The sequence below is a fragment of the Homo sapiens genome, chromosome 7 (assembly GCF_000001405.40).
Source record: "Homo sapiens chromosome 7, GRCh38.p14 Primary Assembly".
NCBI classification, from domain to species: Eukaryota; Metazoa; Chordata; class Mammalia; order Primates; family Hominidae; genus Homo; species Homo sapiens.
In genome coordinates this window covers 71,949,892-71,968,056 of record NC_000007.14, presented here as the reverse complement: position 1 = coordinate 71,968,056, position 18,165 = coordinate 71,949,892, and the positions used below count along the sequence as shown (strand labels likewise).

General features: G+C 43.4%; 1 protein-coding gene across 15 annotated transcripts in view; it reads left to right on the top strand.

The window, feature by feature from the left end:
- The window catches only part of CALN1 (calneuron 1), a 724,789-nt gene that overhangs the window by 536,223 nt on the left and 170,401 nt on the right, over positions 1 to 18,165 (top strand). Inside the window, exon 5 of one of the 15 annotated variants that reach the window (XM_047420911.1) lies at positions 1,399 to 4,488. The exons of the other annotated variants lie outside the window; for them this stretch is intronic. Coding sequence (XP_047276867.1) covers positions 1,399 to 1,416 — 18 coding nt within the window. The 3' untranslated portion in view covers positions 1,417 to 4,488. Of the gene's footprint in view, positions 1 to 1,398; positions 4,489 to 18,165 lie in introns of those variants that run through there. 15 annotated transcript variants of the gene reach the window in all.

The following is an 18,165-nucleotide window of genomic DNA, read 5'->3' as shown; positions in this document are numbered from 1 at the left end:
TTTTCATTTCTCTCAAGTAAATACCTAGGTGTGGGATTACTGAATAAAATGAGAAATGTATGTTTAACTTTATACAGAGATGCCAAAATGTTTTCCAAAGTGGTGATACCATTTTTAATTCCTACCAGCAATATATGAGAGTTCCAGTTGCTTTACATCTTTGCTAGCAATAGATATTCTTAGCTTCTTTTGTTCGCTTTTAAATTTTAGCCTGTTTAATAAGTCTACAGTGGCATCTCATTGTGGTTTTTGTTTGCTTTCTTTTCATTTACTTTAGTAAATTCTTTAGTAATATGTATGCTCAAATCTTCCCCTTTTTAAATTGTATTGATTGCTTTCTTATTATTGAGTTTGAAAGTTCTTTATATTCTTTATTCTGGGCACAGACTTTTTTCTTTTCTTTTCTTTTCTTTCTTTTTTTTTTTTTTTTTGAAACAGGGTCTCACTCTGTCGCCCAGGCTGGAGTGCAGTGACACGATCACGGGTCACTGCAGCCTTGACTTGGGCTCAAGCGATTTTTCCACCTCAGCCTCCTGAGTAACTGGGACTACAGGCATGCACCACTGAGCTCAGTTAATTTGTTTGATTTTTAGTAGAGACAAGGTCTTGCTATGTTTCCCAGGCTGGTCTGGAACTCCTGAGTTAAAGCCATCCTGACTTGGTTTCCCAAAGCCCTAGGATTACAGACATGAGTCATCACACCTAGTCAGGTTTCTTTAACAGGTATTTGTTTTGTGATATTTTCTGCCATATTATATCTCGTGTGTTCATTATCTTAACAGTGATTTTTGAAAATAAAAGTTTTCAGTTATTGTGAAGTTCAGTTTGCTATTTCTCTCCTTCATTATTCATGCTTTATGCATCTTATCTAAAAAATCTTTGCCTAGATAAAGGCTTTCTCTGTTTTCTTCTGTATATTTTATAGTTTTAGGTTTAATATTTAAGTTGTTTCCATTTTGAACTGTTTATCCACTACGTTATTGGAATAAACAAGTGAATGGGTTTCAAAGATATGTTTCCTAAACAGTTCTCAATAAAAACCAATGACATCATGGCAAAGAATATTCCAGAAACAGCTTCTACTGGGGAAGCTGAACAAGGACATATCTTTCTGTTGTTCTGACAGAATTCAATGATAAATTTTAGAGTGTCTAGAGAAAGCCTCTTCATTTGGGGGGATTTACAACTTACAAAGTTGCATGTAAAATTAATCTAGCTTTAAATTTTCTGGAAGAGAAGAACTATAATTTTCATTAGGCTTTCAATGGGGGTAGTGACCACCACTTGCTCCCCAAAACGTTAAGAACCATGGTATTAGTCTGTTCTTGTATTGCTGTAAATACCTGAGACTGGGTAATATATAAAGAAGAGAGGTTTAATTGGCTCTTGATTCTGCAGGCTGTACGGGAAGCATGATGCTGGAATCTGCTGAGCTTCTGAAAAAGCCTCAGGAAACTTACAATAATGGCAGAAGGCAAAGAGGAAGCAGGTGCATCTTACATGGCAGGACCAGGAGCAGGAGACAGAGAGAGAGGAGGGAGGTGCCACACACTTTTAAATGACCAGATGTCATGAGAACTCACTATCAAGAGGACAGTACCAGAAGGATGATGCTAAATCATTCATAAGAAATCCACCCCCATGATCCAGCCACCTCCCACCACCCCACCTCCATCACTGAGGATTACAATTGAACATGAGACTTGGGTGGGGACACAGATCCAAACCATATCAAACATTGACCTAGGGCAGGATTCCACAGACCAAGGTTCACAGGCCATGTCCAGCTTGCCACTTATTTTGCAAGTAAAGTTATACTGCAACATAGCCACACTAATTTGTATTGTCCATGGCTGCTTGCTTTATGGTGACAGAGTTGACTGTAGAGTTGAATTGTTGGGATAGAAACTACAAGGAGCACCAGAACTATTTGTTATCTGGTCTTGCACAGGAGCATAGACAGACTGTATATCCTTCAGGTTAACCTGCAAAATAGAAATTGTCTCAGCTGATTTTTCTATTGAGTATTGTGTAGATTGAATGCAAGATTATACTCCCTGGTAGTACTTGGAGGGCAGAAGTGTGGTGTTGATGGTTTTGCAAAACTCCATATTTCAACAGTGAAAAGCTCTAAGAAGCACCGCTACTGTCCTTTTCTACAGGAAGAAGACCAAGAAAGATCCTCTAGGCTTTTAAATACTAAGTTATCTTTGTAAATTATTTAGGAATCACTCAATTGAGTGATACTGGGGCATCTTTTTATGCCCCAGAACATAGCTGCAATAATTTTAAATTGTGAAATATTTTAAGTGGTCACTACCATATGCCTAACTTTGAACTTTCACCAATATATCTTTTGGTTGTGCATATACCATATCAGTTGAAAAATGGATCTCTTTTAAATGAATAAGGTAAGTCCCTATGTAGGAATTTAGCTATACACCATTTAAGTGCATTTAATGTTTGTTTGTTTGTTTGTTTGTTTGTTGTTACTGTTTTTCAAATAGCAGCTCTGAAGCCCTTCTTTGTAGAATGAATGAGATACCTATTAAAGTCACTCCTGGCTTATGAGTATAAAATTATGTCATCTGCAAGTGAGAGGAAGCTTTTAGTTTTCCTTACAGAAGGTTGGCACCTTCTTTCTAGGACTCACACTAAAGATTGTGCTTTTCCAAAAGTAGTATCTTAGTATCTAAACAATTAAAGGGATACTTTTTAAAAAGTGAGGCTGGGCATGGTGGCTCACACCTGTCATCTTAGTACTTTGGGAGGCTGAGGCGGGAGGATCACCTGAGCCCAGGAGTTTGAGACCAGCCTGGGCAACATAACAAGACTCTGTTTCTATAAAGAATAATAAAAAGTTTAGCTGGGTGGGGTGACATGTGCCTGTGTTCTCAGCTACTTGGAAGGTGGAGGCAGGAGGATGACTTGAACACAAGAGGTAGAGGCTGCAGTGAGCTACGATGGCACCACTGCACTCTAGCCTGGGGGACAGAGTGAGACCATGTCTCCAAAATTAAAAAGTTAAAAATAAAACGTGAGCCAGAAAACATTCTTATTTTCCCCTGAATCCTCAAAAACGGTCTCTACTAACTCAAAGTCTGGCAGTGTTTTTAAGGTGCTGATTGTGAGCTCAGCCCAAGTCAGTGAAACCATCTATTCCTTACAGATTTCTTCATGGACTGATAGAACATTACATTGGTCAGTATTGGAAGACTCTTACCCAAAGCCCATCTCATTCCCAACATTTCTTGCAAAGCCCAGACTTATCATTTATACAGAGGGAAACAGGCATGCATTTTTAATGAAGTGTTCAATAAGTTAAATATATCTATACTTTGGAATGAAATAAAGGGTTGTTCCTTTTTTTGTTTTGTTTTGGTTTGGTTTTTTTTTGAGACAGAGTCTCGCTCTGTTGCCAGGCTGGAGTGCAGTGGCGTGATCTCAGCGTGAGCCACTGCGCCCAGCCGGTTGTTCTTTTGAAAATGATATTAATGATCTTGCTGAGAGCTATCTCCACCACTCAATAAAACCTTACACTCATTCTCCAAGCCCACATGTGATCCAAGTTTTCCAGTACACTAGGGCAAGAACCCAGGATACAGAAAGCCCTCTGTCCTTGCGATAAGCAGAGGGTCTAATTGAGCTCATTAACACAAGCTGTCTGCAGACGGCAAAGCTGAAAGAGCACACTGTAACAGACGCCCACCAAGGCTTCAGGAGCTGTAAACACTCACCCTTAGACACTGCTGTGGGGTCAGAGCCCAAAAATGCTCCCCACGACCCCTACACCTGCCTGTCTGCATGCTTCCTTAGGAGTTTGAGCAGCAGGGCAGCAAAGAAGAGTCACAACCCTGTCGCACATCCTGTGACGGGGGATAAAGGAACACTCCCATTTCAGTGTCCATCCGTAGGGGAATGCGTAAGCCAAAGTATATGATATGACATACTTAGCAACAGTTCAGATGTACATACATAGCAGTGTGGATAAACCTTAACAATGCTCCCTTTAGTCAAAAAAGAAACAATGAGATTCATAGCAGGAAACATTTATGTTTAAATACACGGACATTGAAAACAAGACATATTTTGGGGACAGTATATCAGAGGGGATAAGAATATGAATTCCTCAGCCAAACTTCATAGGTCCTAATCCCAGCTCCACTATTTACCTCTTATGTTAGATGAGTTACTTAATTTTTGTGCCTCAGTTTTCCCATTTGCAAAATGGTGATAATCTCATTGCATTGCTATCCAGATTTGATGAGTTAATGTACGTGTAGCATTTAAAATATAGAATAAGTGCTAATAAGTGTAATCTATTATTGCAGTACATGTATCAGTATTACATATAAAACATATAAAGTGGTGACCAAGGGGGTAAGGGAAAAAAAGTGGAATTTGGGGACCAAGGAGAGACGATAAGAAAAAAAGAAGAGAAAAAGTTTCCTAGGCTGGGCACGGTGGCTCATACCTGTAATCCCAGCACTTTGGGAGGCCAAGGTGGGCGGATCATTTGAGGTCAGGAGTTCAAGACCAGCCTGGCCAACATGGCAAAACCCTGTCTCTACTAAAAATACAAACATGAGCTGTGTGGGCTGGGCACAGTGGCTCACACCTGTAATCCCAGCACTTTGGGAGGCTGAGGCAGGTGGATCACGAGGTAAGGAGATCAAGACCATCCTGGCCAACATGGTGAAACCTTGTCTCTACTAAAAATACAAAAATTAGCCGGGCGTGGTGGCGTGCACCTGTAATCCCAGCTACTCTGGAGGCTGAGGCAGGAGAATCGCTTGAACCAGGGAGTCGGAGGTTGCAGTGAGCCGAGATCGCGCCGCCGCACTCCAGCCTGGGTGACAGAGCAAGACTCTGTCTCAAAAATAATAATAATAATAAAAATAACAAAGTTTCTTAGAGCTTACTGTTTAGTACAGGTGACCCTAATTTTGTGACACTAGCAAGAGTAAACTTTCCAGGTTTACCTGGTAACTGAGATTCCAAAACTTAAATACCAGTTACAAATCTTGGATACCTATGTTTAAACCTGTCCTCTTTGTAGTATTTGAAGGCCAAACTGAGATCCTTATATATGAGAATTTATTATACTTGAATCTTTCAAGGTTACTAGAATTTGAGTAAGCGTTGAATTGATGAGATCCCGCTGATCTCTTCTGATTTCATTTTTCCTTGTTACTTTGTTCATCTCACCAGGGATTGTCTTTTTTCTTTTTGGCCTGGCAATTCCTGACAGATCAGGCACTAGAAGGAAAAAAGACCCACATTTGCTGTGACATACTGTAGATAAAACTGGTTTAAAGCTTTCAGCAATTTGTAGAAAAGATGTGGAAGAGAAATCTTCTCCTCACGGCACCCAAAGTGGAATTTTAAAAGGTATTAGATAATGAAAGGTTTCTAGGGGAATTTGAAATCTTCTTAGTCAGTCTCACACTTTCTAGCCCCCTGAGCTCACCAGTGTGAAAGGTTGAGATGAGGGGAAATATTCACTCTCTATATAGTCCAGAATGTCCATTCAAACGGTAGCAAATGCAGAGGGCTCAAATATGGCATGGCTTTTGCCAGCAGTTCGCAGCATGGACTCGGTATTGGTATTTGTTACAGGTAATTGGCTTCTGCTCACATTAATTAATTTATTGGAGGCTGGGTCTCTCTCTTTCACCCAGGCTGCAGTGCAGTGGTGCCATCATAGCTCACTGCAGCCTCAAACTCCTGGGCTCAAGTGATCCTCCTGCCTCAGCCTCTCAAGTAGCTGGAACAACAGGTGCATGCCACCAGGCATGACTGATTTTTTAAACTTTTTTTTTTTTTTTTAGAGATGGGGTCTTGCTGTGTTGCCCAAGCTGGTCTCAAACTCCTGGCCTCAAGTGATCCTCCAGCCTTGGCCTCTCAAAATGCTGGGATTGCAGGTGTGAGCCATTGTGCCTGGCCACAAGGTTATTCTTATAATAACTTTCCTATCTTGCACTTGCATCTTGTTTTATGAGAAAACGGAATACGCAGATACAAATGAAGAGATGATGGACATAGGGTAGGCAGGTGAAAGGAACAAACAAGATATAATGAGGCTCCCTGAGGCTACAATAGCTGGAAATTGTTCCCACTCCAAGGGCTGAAGGGAAAGGGTTACTGGAACCTCACGAGGTCTGGAAGAGGTGCCACTCAGCGGGAAATAGGCTTGTGAAGAGACATAGCTACTGCCAGAGTAGCAGAGTTTTGTCAGAAAGTATGCAGGGGAGGAGGACCCTGCCCTCTCTCTTCTGCTGCCCTTGAATTTCTTGCCATTGTCTGAATTGGCCTAACCCAAACAGAAGCTAGCAGCAAGTTTGTCTAGGAGATGCAATCTACAGAGATCAGTTTCCAAGGGCCCAGGGCAGAGAGGTGCAGGGAGGGAATGGCTTGTGGAGATGGCAAATGGAGAATTGCGCACACACATTTTCTTATTCCTTTTTGTTTGTTTTAATAGTGAGAGAAAGAAGTTTGCAGATTTCATGTAACAGTACCCATGGGAGTACAGTACACAAGTGAACGTAATCTATTACGGGTTTTATGGCAGAAAAGAGATTGGTAATTACTGGTCTATGGGGCTGACTCCCAAGGGGGAAATACAGGTAACATTTTCATCAGCTAGATCTCATGTGCTAACATTAAAACAGAACTGGGTTTTATGTATAAATACATTTGGTAGGGAAATTTCTATTAGGATGTAAATATCTGTCTTTAGAAGAGGGGATGTAAGCTCGGTTTGATTCCTTGTCTGTCTTGTTTGCTATTGTATACCCAGTATCTGGCACAGTTCCTGGCATTGTGAATAAATGAATGAGAAGTAATCTTTCAGATACCTTATGTATTATAGGTATAGACTAATTGGACTGACAATGATAGTAACTTTGCTGATTATGTGAAATTCATTTAAGATAAAAAGTCTTATGAGCAGTGGCTCATGCCTGTAATTCCAGCACTTTGGGAGGCCAAGGCAAACAGATCACCTGAGGTCAGGAGTTCAAGACCAGCCTGGGAAACATGGTGAAACCCCATCTCTACTAAAAATACAAAAATTAGCCAGGTGTGGTGTCACAAGCCTGTGATCCCAGCTACTCAGGAGGCTGAGGCACGAGAATCGCTTGAACCTGGGAGGTGGAGGTTGCAATGAGCTGAGATTGAGCCACTGCACTCCACCTGGGCAACAGAGTAAGACTCTGTCTCAAAAAACAATTAAATTAGAATAAAATAAAAAGTCTTAATATCACGACCAGGTAATGGTGTAGGAGTTTGCACCTGCATGGAGGTAGAGAGTGGAAGAATATAACTATTAAAAAAGATCTAAAATTAGAACTGCCATTCAATCCAGCAATCCCACTACCAGGAAAGAAATCATTATATCAAAAAGATACTTGCACTGGTATGTTTGTTGCAGCACTATTCACAATAGCAAAGATATGGAATCAACCTAAATATCTATCAGTGGAGGAATGGATAAAGAAAATGTGGTACATAGACACCATGGAATACTACTCAGCCATAAAAAAGAATGCAATCATTATCTTCTGCAGCAACACGGATGGAAGTGGAAGCTACTATCCTCAGTGAAATAGCTCAGAAACAGAAAGTCAAATACCACATGTTCTCACTTACAAATGCGAGCTAAACAATGGGTACAGATGGATGTACGGAGGGAATGATAGATACTGGGGACTCCATAAAGGGAGAGGCTGGGACGGAAGTAAGATTTGAAAAATTCCCTATTGGGTACAGTGTACACTGTCCAGATGATGGGTTCATGATGCAATATATACATGTAAGAAACCTGCATTTGTATCCTCTAAATATGCTTTTATTTTATTTTTTTATTTTATTTTATTTATTTATTTATTTATTTATTTATTTATTTATTTATTTATTTATTTTTGAGATGGAGTCTCTCTCTGTTGCCCAGGCTGGAGTGCAGTGGTGCCATCCTGACTCACTGCAACCACCACCTCCTGGGTTCAATGATTCTCCTCCCTCAGTCTCTAGAGCAGCTGGGATTACAGGTGCCCGCCACCACGCCCAGCTAATTTTTGTATTTTTAGTAGAGATGGGGTTTCACCATGTTGACCAGACTGATCTCAAACTCCTGACCTCAGGTGATCTGCCCGCCTCGGCCTCCCAAAGTGCTGGGATTACAGGCCTGAGCCACTGTGCCCGGCCTAAATATGCATTTTTAAAAAAGAATACAACTGTGAAGAGACATCACATTTGGTTTGCCCAGGAATTGAAATAGACTAGAACTAGAAATAGATTCTAGTCCTATGAGCACCATGGAGTCTGACCACTGTCCTCTTGTGCTGATGGAGTTGGGACTGGGTGACCATCGTGTCTCACCTTTGCTGAAAGTATCCACCACACATACCCTTCCCCCACTTAAAAAAAAAAAAAAGCTGGAAAGGTAAAAAAGTCAAAACCCTGGAATATGTAGAGATGTCCTAAACTCCAAGTCTCTTCTATCTATATCATGTTAAAACTCATCAGGAGAACTGGTATACCCCTATGCTCTATGCTCTGGGAAAGGAACATAGTCGTTTTGGTAGATGTTCCTGGGAGAAGGGGAAGCCCATTTTCCTTTCCTCAAAAGGACTTGCCTCTCACCCATCTTAGGAAAGTTTTCCAAATATATAAAAACAACCAAGTCTGGATTCTCCAATCCTGTGTTTGCGATCTCCAAGAAAGAACAGAACACACTTCTGGACAACTTGTCCAAACTTCAGAACTGATCACAATGTTGCTAGCCACATTATGTGAATATTAGATTTCATGTTAGCTTGTCATTTAAGACCAGGCAGAAGGGAAGCTCCTCCTGAACCATGAGACCTGACTCATCACTGCCTACCATGACAGGTGCTTCACTGCTACTAAGTCTGGTGAAAAGGAGAGGGGCAAGCCATTCAGTTTGCTTTCTCTCCTAGCCTTTGATAGTGCCACAGCTTCCAGAACATCCTTGCTTTAATTGAGCAGCCTATGCCTATCTTTTATAACTAACAAGTGACCCAAAATACAGGCATGTGAAAGCCTGATACTCCAGGTTTCCCGTCATAAGGAAAGCCACTCGGAGAAGTCAGGCAGCATGTTGGAAAGTGATCTGAGGGTCTGATCTGTCAGTCAAGAAAGAACTCTGGGCAATGTCTGTTGTGAGGCTGGGTGGGAGACTCAGTCTGTTAAGGTAGCAGTGATGGGTCAGGTCTCACAGTGCAGGAGGAGCTGCCTTTCTGCCTGATTTTGAACAAGCAGCTAACATGAAATCTAACAGAAGAGACCACATAATGTGGCTAGCACCATTGTGGTCAGCTCTGAAGGATGGCAACGCAAGTTGTCCGGAAGTGTGTCCTGTTCTTTCTTGGAGATCGCAAACATAGGATTGGAGAATCCAGACTTTGCTGTTTTTATATATTTGGAAAACTTTCCTAAGATGGGTGGAGAGGCAAGTCCTTTTGAGGAAAGGAAAATGAGCTTCCCCTTCTCCCAGGAACTGTATATACCACATGTGCCTGGGCAAACTTGGTAGTCTATTGGTACTTTGTGAAGGACCAATAAGGTCTTTGACAGATAGGAAGACTACACAAAGGGGCCTCCCTGAGTTGTCTGTTGTGTCTTACAATGAAGACAGGGAACTGGAGGAAGCCAAGAGTCTCATGAGACAGAGAATGGATCAAACTAATAATAAGCTCATTTTAACAAGACCAGTATGAGAATAGGGCAAGAAACCTGACAAACAGAGGGGAACAGTAGATACTGGGGACTCCATAAAGGGGGAGGTTGGGAGAGGTGAGATTTGAAAAATTACCTGTTGGGTACAATGTACGCTATTAAGATGATGGATCCATTAAAATCTCAGACTTCACCATGATGGAATATACCATGTAAGAGATTGGTAATTACTGCACTTTCTTTTTTTTTCTTTTTCTTTTTTTTTCTTTCTTTCTTTTTTTTTTTTTTTTTTGAGATGGAGTTTCACTCTTGTCACCTAGGCTGGAGTGCAATGGCACAATCTGGGCTCACTGCAACTTCTGCCTCCCAGGTTCAAGAGATTCTCCTGCCTCAGCCTCCCAAGTAGCTGGGATTACAGGTGCATGCCACCACGCCTGGCTAATTTTTGTATTTTTAATAGAGATGGGGTTTCATCATGTTGGCCAGGTTGGTCTCGAACTCCTGACCCCAGGTGATCTGCCTGCTTCGGCCTCCCAAAGTGCTGGGATTAGAAGTGTGAGCCACCATGCCCAGCAGAAACCTGCACTTTCTTAGTGCGAGGTGTGAGCCACAGCACCCAGCCTAAATTTTTCAGTCTTAAAATGAGAACATTCCTAGTTTCTTCTCCTTCTTCAAAAACAAAACAAAAAATCCGGAGAATCACCTCACTTCATGCCTGTCTAACTCACCGGAAAATTGCATTAATCTGTCTGAGAACTGAAGTTACTTAAGAGATTTGCCATTTGTAAGTTGAGGAAGGCATTTTAGGTTTGCAGTGATCAGTACAGGCGACAGATCGTAATGGGGTAGAGAAAGAGTGTCAAGGTTTGAGAGTGGTGTCTTTTTTGGGGTTTGATTTTTTGCAGAGTGAAATATTTCATCTCTGAGTTGCTTACTACGAAAAGAGTGTCTTTGTTTTATTTTTTTAAACCTCTTTATTTCCTTTTTAGGCTTTTGTATCAGATTTCATCACGTTTTTGTCTTTCCAGAATCATTAATGATAAATTCTTACAGTCAAGAAAAATATTAGATCTAACCAAAAATTTAAAAGTCACAGTCCCACCCACCTCCTATCAATCTTTCTGAAAGAAGTAAATCAAAATTCTCTCACAGAAGATGAAAGTGAATTGTCCATCAAAGCCGAGAGTGGCTGCTTGATTACTTCAGCATCCAGACCATGTCTTCGGCTGCGATAGAAACAAGATGATTAATTTCAGAGCTTCTCTCGGTGTCTCATTTCGCTTTCACCACCTCCCCACCAATTCATAAAGCTCCCGTGAAGGGAGATGAAGGGATTGACTATCAAAAAAATAAAGTATAGGGCTGGGTGTGGTGGCTCACACCTGTAATCCCAGCACTTTGGGAGGCCAAGGTGGGTGGATCACCTGAGGTCTCGAGTTTTGAGACCAGACTGGCCAACATGGTGAAACCTCACCTCCACTAAAAATACATAAATTAGCCAGGCGTGATGGTGGGTGCCTGTAATTCCAGATTCTCAGGAGGCTGAGACAGGAGAATCGCTTGAACCTGGGAGGCAGAGATTGCAGTGAGCTGAGATTGTGCCACTGCACTCCAACTTGGGTGGCAGAGTGAAACTCTGTCTCAAATAATAAAATAAAATAATAAAATAAAATGTAAATGCTCCTGGCTTGCTGTGTGCCTGCACTGCTACATACAATCAAAACTTTAAATTGGGACTGGACACAGTCAGCCCCTGTAATCCCAGCACTTTGGGAGGCTGAGGCTGGAGGATAACTTGGGGCCAGGAGTTTGAGATCAGCCTGGGCAACATAACGACACCCTCCCTCTGTTTAAAAAAAAAAAAAAGTTATCAGAACAAAAATAATAATAATTTTTAAAAAAAATACTTTAAATTGAAATAATGCCCAATAGTAAAATTTCCGGGCACTCTTATCTGCAGTCTTTCTGTAGCTCCCAAGTCCTCCCCTACAGCATACATATGTGCCCTCAATCATCCTACTCATCACAAAAGGAAACAAAGTTCCTTTCTGCTATTAAAATTCTAGAACGGGCTGGGCACAGTGGCTCATGCCTATAATCCCAGCACTTTGGGAGGCTGAGGAGTGAGGATCGCTTGAGGTCAGGAGTTCGAGACCAGCCTGGCCAACATGATGATGCTCCGTCTCTACTAAAAATACAAAAATTAGCTGGACATGGTGGCACATGTCTGTAATCCTAGCTACTTGGGAGGCTGAGGCAGGAGAATTGCTTGAACCCAGGAGGCAGAGGTTGCAGTGAACCGAGATAGTGCCATTGCTCTCCAGCCTGGGTGACAGAGTGAGACTCCATCTCAAAAAAAAAAAAAAATCCAGAACATACATGGCCCAGTCTATACTATCTCGGTTGGGGGCTTTCAGTGAAACTGCCGGCTCTGAGATCACCAGGTACCACCCAGGTGCCAGACTAAATAGCGGCTTTTCAATCTTCAGCCCTCAAGCCCTCTTAGAGTACATTCTACTTCTGACTTTCCTCCCAGAGGAGGTTGTCTGTCTGCTTGGTCTGAAATAAGTGCATCATAGTCAGGTCATGTTGGAATCTGACTCCTTCCAGGACGGATCTCCTGAGTTCCAGAACATCAGGGGCTTATTGAGCCAGGGCATGCTCAAAACTTAAGATCTGTACCCTATATTACCTCTATGTTGATCAGTTTTTTAATCTAAGGAAGGCAATGCAGTATGTTCTGTAATATTTTCCACTTAGACCAGTGGGGAAAGCGTTCATTTTGGGGTTCAACAGACCTGGATTTGAACCCCTGCTGTGCCATTGACTTAAGTGTGGAATCTCTAAATTCACTGATTCTTGCAGTTCTCACTTAGGGAGTAGGGGTCATATTGACCTCAAAGAGCATTTTGAGATTTAAATAAAGGAACGTATGCAAAAAGTTGATCAGCTTTTCAACCTCTCCGCTGTGTCATTCCCATTAGAATACTGATACAGTTTGGCTGTGTCTCCACCCAAATCTCATCTTGAATTGTAGCTCCCATAATTGCCATGTGTGGTGGGAGGGACCTGGTGGGAGATCACTGAATCACAGGGACGGTTTCTTCCATACTGTTCTCGTGGTAGTGAATACGTCTCACGAGATCTGATGGTTTTATCAGGGGTTTTCCGTTTCGCTTGGTTCTCACTCTCTCCTGCCTGCCGCCATGTACGATGTCCCTTTGCTTTTCCTTCGTCTTCTGCCATGATTGCGAGGTCTCCCCAGCCATGTGGGACTGTGAATCCATTAAACCTCTTTCCTTTACAAATTACCCAGACTTGGGTATATCTTTATTAGCAGTATGAGAAGGGACTAATACAGATACAAACATACTTAGACAACTCTCATCCTAAAAAACAACATTCCACGCCTTGTAAGATGTGGGTAAAATAAATAAGAAGAATAATAGTCAAATGAAACTGTCTGTTCCCCTGTAGAGAAGAGTTAAACCTCACTCCTCTTCACTGCTCTGAATCAACCCCCCAGGTAGTAGTCTGTACTCACTGCTGCCAGTTCTCTTCTCCCACTGACTCCTGAATCTACTCTGTCTTGATTTTCATTCTTACCATTCCATAAAACAAAACAGCTCTAGTGGAGGTCACTGATGACCACCATGTTGCTAAATCCCACAGTCAATTCTCAATCCGTATCTTCTTTTTAATGTTTGAGACAGGGTCTTACTCTGTCACTCAAGCTGGAGTACAGTGGCGTGATCACAGCTCACTGGAGCCATGGCCTCCCAGGCTCGTGCAGTCCTCCTGCCTCAGCCTCCTGAGAAGGTGGGACTACACATGCACACCACTATGCCCAGCTAATTTTTATTATTATTTTTAATTTTTTTTTTAATTTTAAGTTTTCGAGATGGAGTCTCACTCTGTTGCCCAGGCTGGAGCACAGTGGCACGATCTCAGCTCACTGCAACCTCCATCTCCCTGGTTCAAATGATTTTCCTGCCTCAGCCTCCCTAGCAGCTGGGAATACAGGTGTGTGCCACCACGCCTGGCTAATTTTTTTGTATTTTTAGTAGAGACAGGGTTTCAAGATGTTAGCCAGGCTGGTCTTGAACTCCTGACCTCACATGATCAGCCCCTCGGCCTCCCAAAGCGCTATGATTACAGGCATGAGCCACAGTGCTTGGCCCCATTTTAAAATTTCTCATAGAGATGATGTCTTGCTATGTTGCCCACGTTGGCCTCAAATTCCTAGCCTCAAGCAATCCTCCTGCCTCAGCCTCCCAAAGTGCTGGGATTACAGGCGTGGGCCACTGTGCCCAGCCTTTACCCCTGATTCTCTAGCAATAGTGAATTCATTGCAGTTGTTCCAGTAAGCCAGATTCTCAGGTTCTCTTTTCTTTGAGAGACTGAGATCATGTTTTTTTTGTCCACACTGCCAACCACCAACCCCACCTTGCCTGCCTAGCTCTCCCTGTCTATGAAGACATTTCCTAGCTGCCTCCCTCACCCCCCAGGAGACAGGTGCCTCCTATGTTCCCCTGTAGAAACATCAGCCCAGCCCCATCAGAGCATCTGCCCCATGACATGGAAACTGGTCCTCTGCTTGTCAGTCTCTGCAAAGTCCTGCTGGCCCTTGGGTCCCCACTCCCAGCACAATGCCTAACACATAAATGGCACTCAGTAAATATTTATTTCTCAGGAAACTTTATCAACAATTATTCAAAACACTTTTACACACATCTCAAAAGAGCTATTATGAAGGTAAAATGCTGTTAATAGGCGTGAAAGCACCTTAGAATGCGGAAAACACCAGAAAGAGAATATGTATATTAAAGCAGAAAATTGGCTTTTCTCCAAAGCCTTGACAGTATATAAAGGAGAAGAAGAGGTGACTATATCTTTCTCCTGCCAATGAGACAGCAATTCGAGTGGCCTGGAGTGGTCATTTAAGATGATAAATCCATTCTTCTACCACAAGTGTGTGTTGATACGCATCTACTTAAATAGTGCAGGGAACAAGGCCATATGGAAAATATTAAGATGAAGAACAGGATGGAGGAGAGAAGCCGTGGGCACCAACAGATTAAGATAAAGTGTGGAGGACTGAGGCAGCTGTGGTGGCTCATGCCCGTAGTCCCAGCTACTTGGGAGGCCAAAGTGGAAGGCTTGCTTGAGGCCAGGAGTTCAAGACCACCCTGGGCAACATAACGAGATCCCGTTCCTGCAAAAAATTAAAAACAGCAGCTGGGTGTAGTGGTGCGTGCCTGTAGTCCCAGCTACTCAAGAGGTTGAGGAAGGAGGATTGCTTGAGCCCAGGAGTTTGAGGCTGCAGTGAGCTGTGGTCACACCACTGCACTCTAAACTGGATGACAGGGCAAGACTTTATCTCCAAATAATAAATTATGGAGGACTGAGTCACGAAAGCCATGCAAAAGGCATTTATGACAAGCTAAAGAGGAAGGCACTTTCTCCTATTAGAGGAATCGAAGAAGACTTTCTGGGGATTAGAAGAAGCTGGACAGGTATTGATGAGCTTTGAATGTGAAGGCAGGAAGGATGCAGGGATCCTACAGGGGCCGAGCCGACAAGAGCATGGTGGGGCTTGGTTTTAGAAAAAAGAATTCAGCAGATTGTGCAAGAGGGAACAGCCCGGCACCTGGGGCGTCCGTATGGCCGTACTTGTAATAGTCCAGGAATGAGTTGAGATCGCTAGCGATCTACACTAGCTTTCTTGGGTCATGAAAGTAATGCAGCCATGGCTTCCTTGGGTCACGGAAGTGATGCAGAGATTGAGCATTTGGAGGACCGATCAAATCAGCTTTTATGTGCCGCTAGCCTCAAAAAGGGAGCATTGCCGCCTGGCCAAGGGACAAGCCTATGTGGGCCCCTTCCCCTCACCCAGAGCCGAGTCCTTGTGGCAGAGCAGCTCCTTCTCTGCTGACATGCACGCCTTCCCTGGACCAACTGTGGAGTTATTATCATATTAATACCAACATCTTCCTCAGGCAAGGAGGTGAGGGGGGTGCACTTGGGAAAGGCAGAAATGACTGGGAGCCACTGAGCCGCTGTTGAGGCGTCAGGGTGGAGCCAAGAATGGGAGGACCCTAAGCATGAAAGTTTCATGATTTAGGAAGATCCTGCCAGGTGACCTGTGGTATCTTCAATTTAGCAGTTGCAGGTCGCATATCCAATTCAACAGATCAGTGATTTGATAGAGATGCAAGAAGGAAGCTGCTGGGCAGACTCTTCATTTTTCATACTTCAGCTAGCAACTGTTTCTCTTGAAGATGTCCCAGAAAGCAGACTCACTCACATCCTGGGGTGGTCCTGCCTGGTTCTCCCTCCACCATCAGCAGCCGCATCTGTTGGTTTGGGCAAGTGATGGATTGGTTGGGTCTGACTCCCAGGAGGGGAATGGAAAAAAAAAAAGGCTGCAGCAGTTTGACAAACTAGAGCACAGAAAAAGTGCAAGACATCAGAAGATCCACCATTCTGCAAGTCGCTTGCATGATTTCAAAGTCAAAGACTTTGATTTCAAATCCTGGCTCAGGGTGAGCCAACCAGAACCAGCCACTGAGCCATAGATGCCAGGTTTCTGGCTGTGATCAGTTTTGTCTTAGTAGGGTATGTGACATCTGCCAATCCAAAAAGTATATTTAGAGATGCTATAGCAGACCAGACTCCTCACTGAGTTCTTGCAGAAGCTGGAAAAACTTGTTTCTGTTATTCGTTTTTTGTTGTTGTTGTTGTTTTGTTTTTGTTTGTTTGTTATTGAGATGGAGTACTGCTCTGTTGCCCAGGCTGGAATGCAGTGGCATGATCTCGACTCACTGCAACCTCCGCCTCCTGGGTTCAAGCGATTCTCTTGCCTCAGCCTCCCAAGTAGCTGGGATTACGGGCACGCACCATCATGCCCAGCTAATTTTTGTATTTTTAGTAGAGACGGGGTTTCACCATGTTGGCCAGGCTAGTCTTGAACTCCTGACCTTAGGTGATGCAGCTGCCTCGGCCTCCCAAAGTGCTGGGATTACAGGCATGAGCCATGCGCCCGGCCGTTTCTGCTATTCTTTACTGTAAGTAAAAGCATTTCTTTACTGAGAGTGTTTTCTGGAGAGTACATGGTGTTAGAGAGCTCTTTGATCAAAGTCCCTTATGCCATATAAAAAGAAAAGGGTGTTGTGCCCTAGAGGCAGCTATGCTGTCATCTTTTGACTGAGTAATTAAACTGATATTTACTAAGAGCCTACTATGTGTCCAGCAGGTTTCAGGCACTGGCCGTGAATGAGAGAGATGGGGCAGACAGGCAATAAATGAACAAACAAGGAAATGTCATTTATGGATAAATGTTATGGTAGAAATAAAACGGGGATAGACGGGGGCCTATTCAGGAATGCCTGGTTAGGGCAGGCTTCTCAGAGAGGGTGAAATGGCTAGGAAAGGAATGACAGGGTGGAGCCGGCTTTATGAAGAACTCTGGGAATGGCATTCTGTGCAGAAGGAACAGTAGATACAAAGTCCTAAGGTGGGAGCAGCTTGGCATGTTCCCAGAGCATTAAGAAAGCCAGTCTGGCTGGAGCAGACTGAGGGAGACTGGCTGGTGCCAGATGTGCAGTGGGCTGATCAGGTAGGAGTATGGACGTGATTCCCTGTGTGGTCTGAAGCAGCTTTAAGTTTAAAGAGGTGTGTTCTGACTGGATTTACAGTTTCAAAGTCTGACTCGGGTGGCTCTGTGGATCGGGGGTGTTAGGGACAAAAGAAGGACTTGACTACTCTGGGTCAGGGAGGAACTCAGTATGAGCTGTTTGGGGCCAGAGTGGTGGGGAGAGGATCAGTTCGGGCTATGCTTGCAAGTCTTTAAGAGGACCGTGGTGATGGATTGGTCATAGGAATGGGGTGTTGAAGGAAGACACAGAATCAAAGATGATGCCTAGGTTTTTTGGCAAGTACTCTGCAATATCCAAAAATGCGTGGTAGTGATTGTCGGAGACCTAGATCCTATTCTCAACCCTTCCATGTATCTGTGGGTGACCTTGAATGAGTCCCTCTGCCTCAGTTTCCTCACCTGTAAAATGATGGAGTTGGAACAGATTACATGAAAGACCCCTTTCCGCCCTGCCCATACTTGTGCTGTGGCTAAAACAACTGTGAGCAATTCTCCTCCCATAAGGGGCTCACTCTCCAGGTGTTACCAGGGGAGGGTGTCCAGGTTCTTGGCATCTCGAACAAAGAATTGGACAAAATGCACAAATGAAGCAAGGAAGGAATGAAGCAACAAAAGCAGAGATTTATTAAAAATCAAAGTGGCCAGGCACGGTGGCTCACACCTGTAATCCCAACACTTTGGGAGGCTGAGGCAGGCAGATCATGAGGTCAGGAGATTGAGACCATCCTGGCTAACACAGTGAAACCCCGTCTCTACTAAAAATACAAAAAAATTAGCCAGGCGTAGTGGCAGGCGCCTGTAGTCCCAGC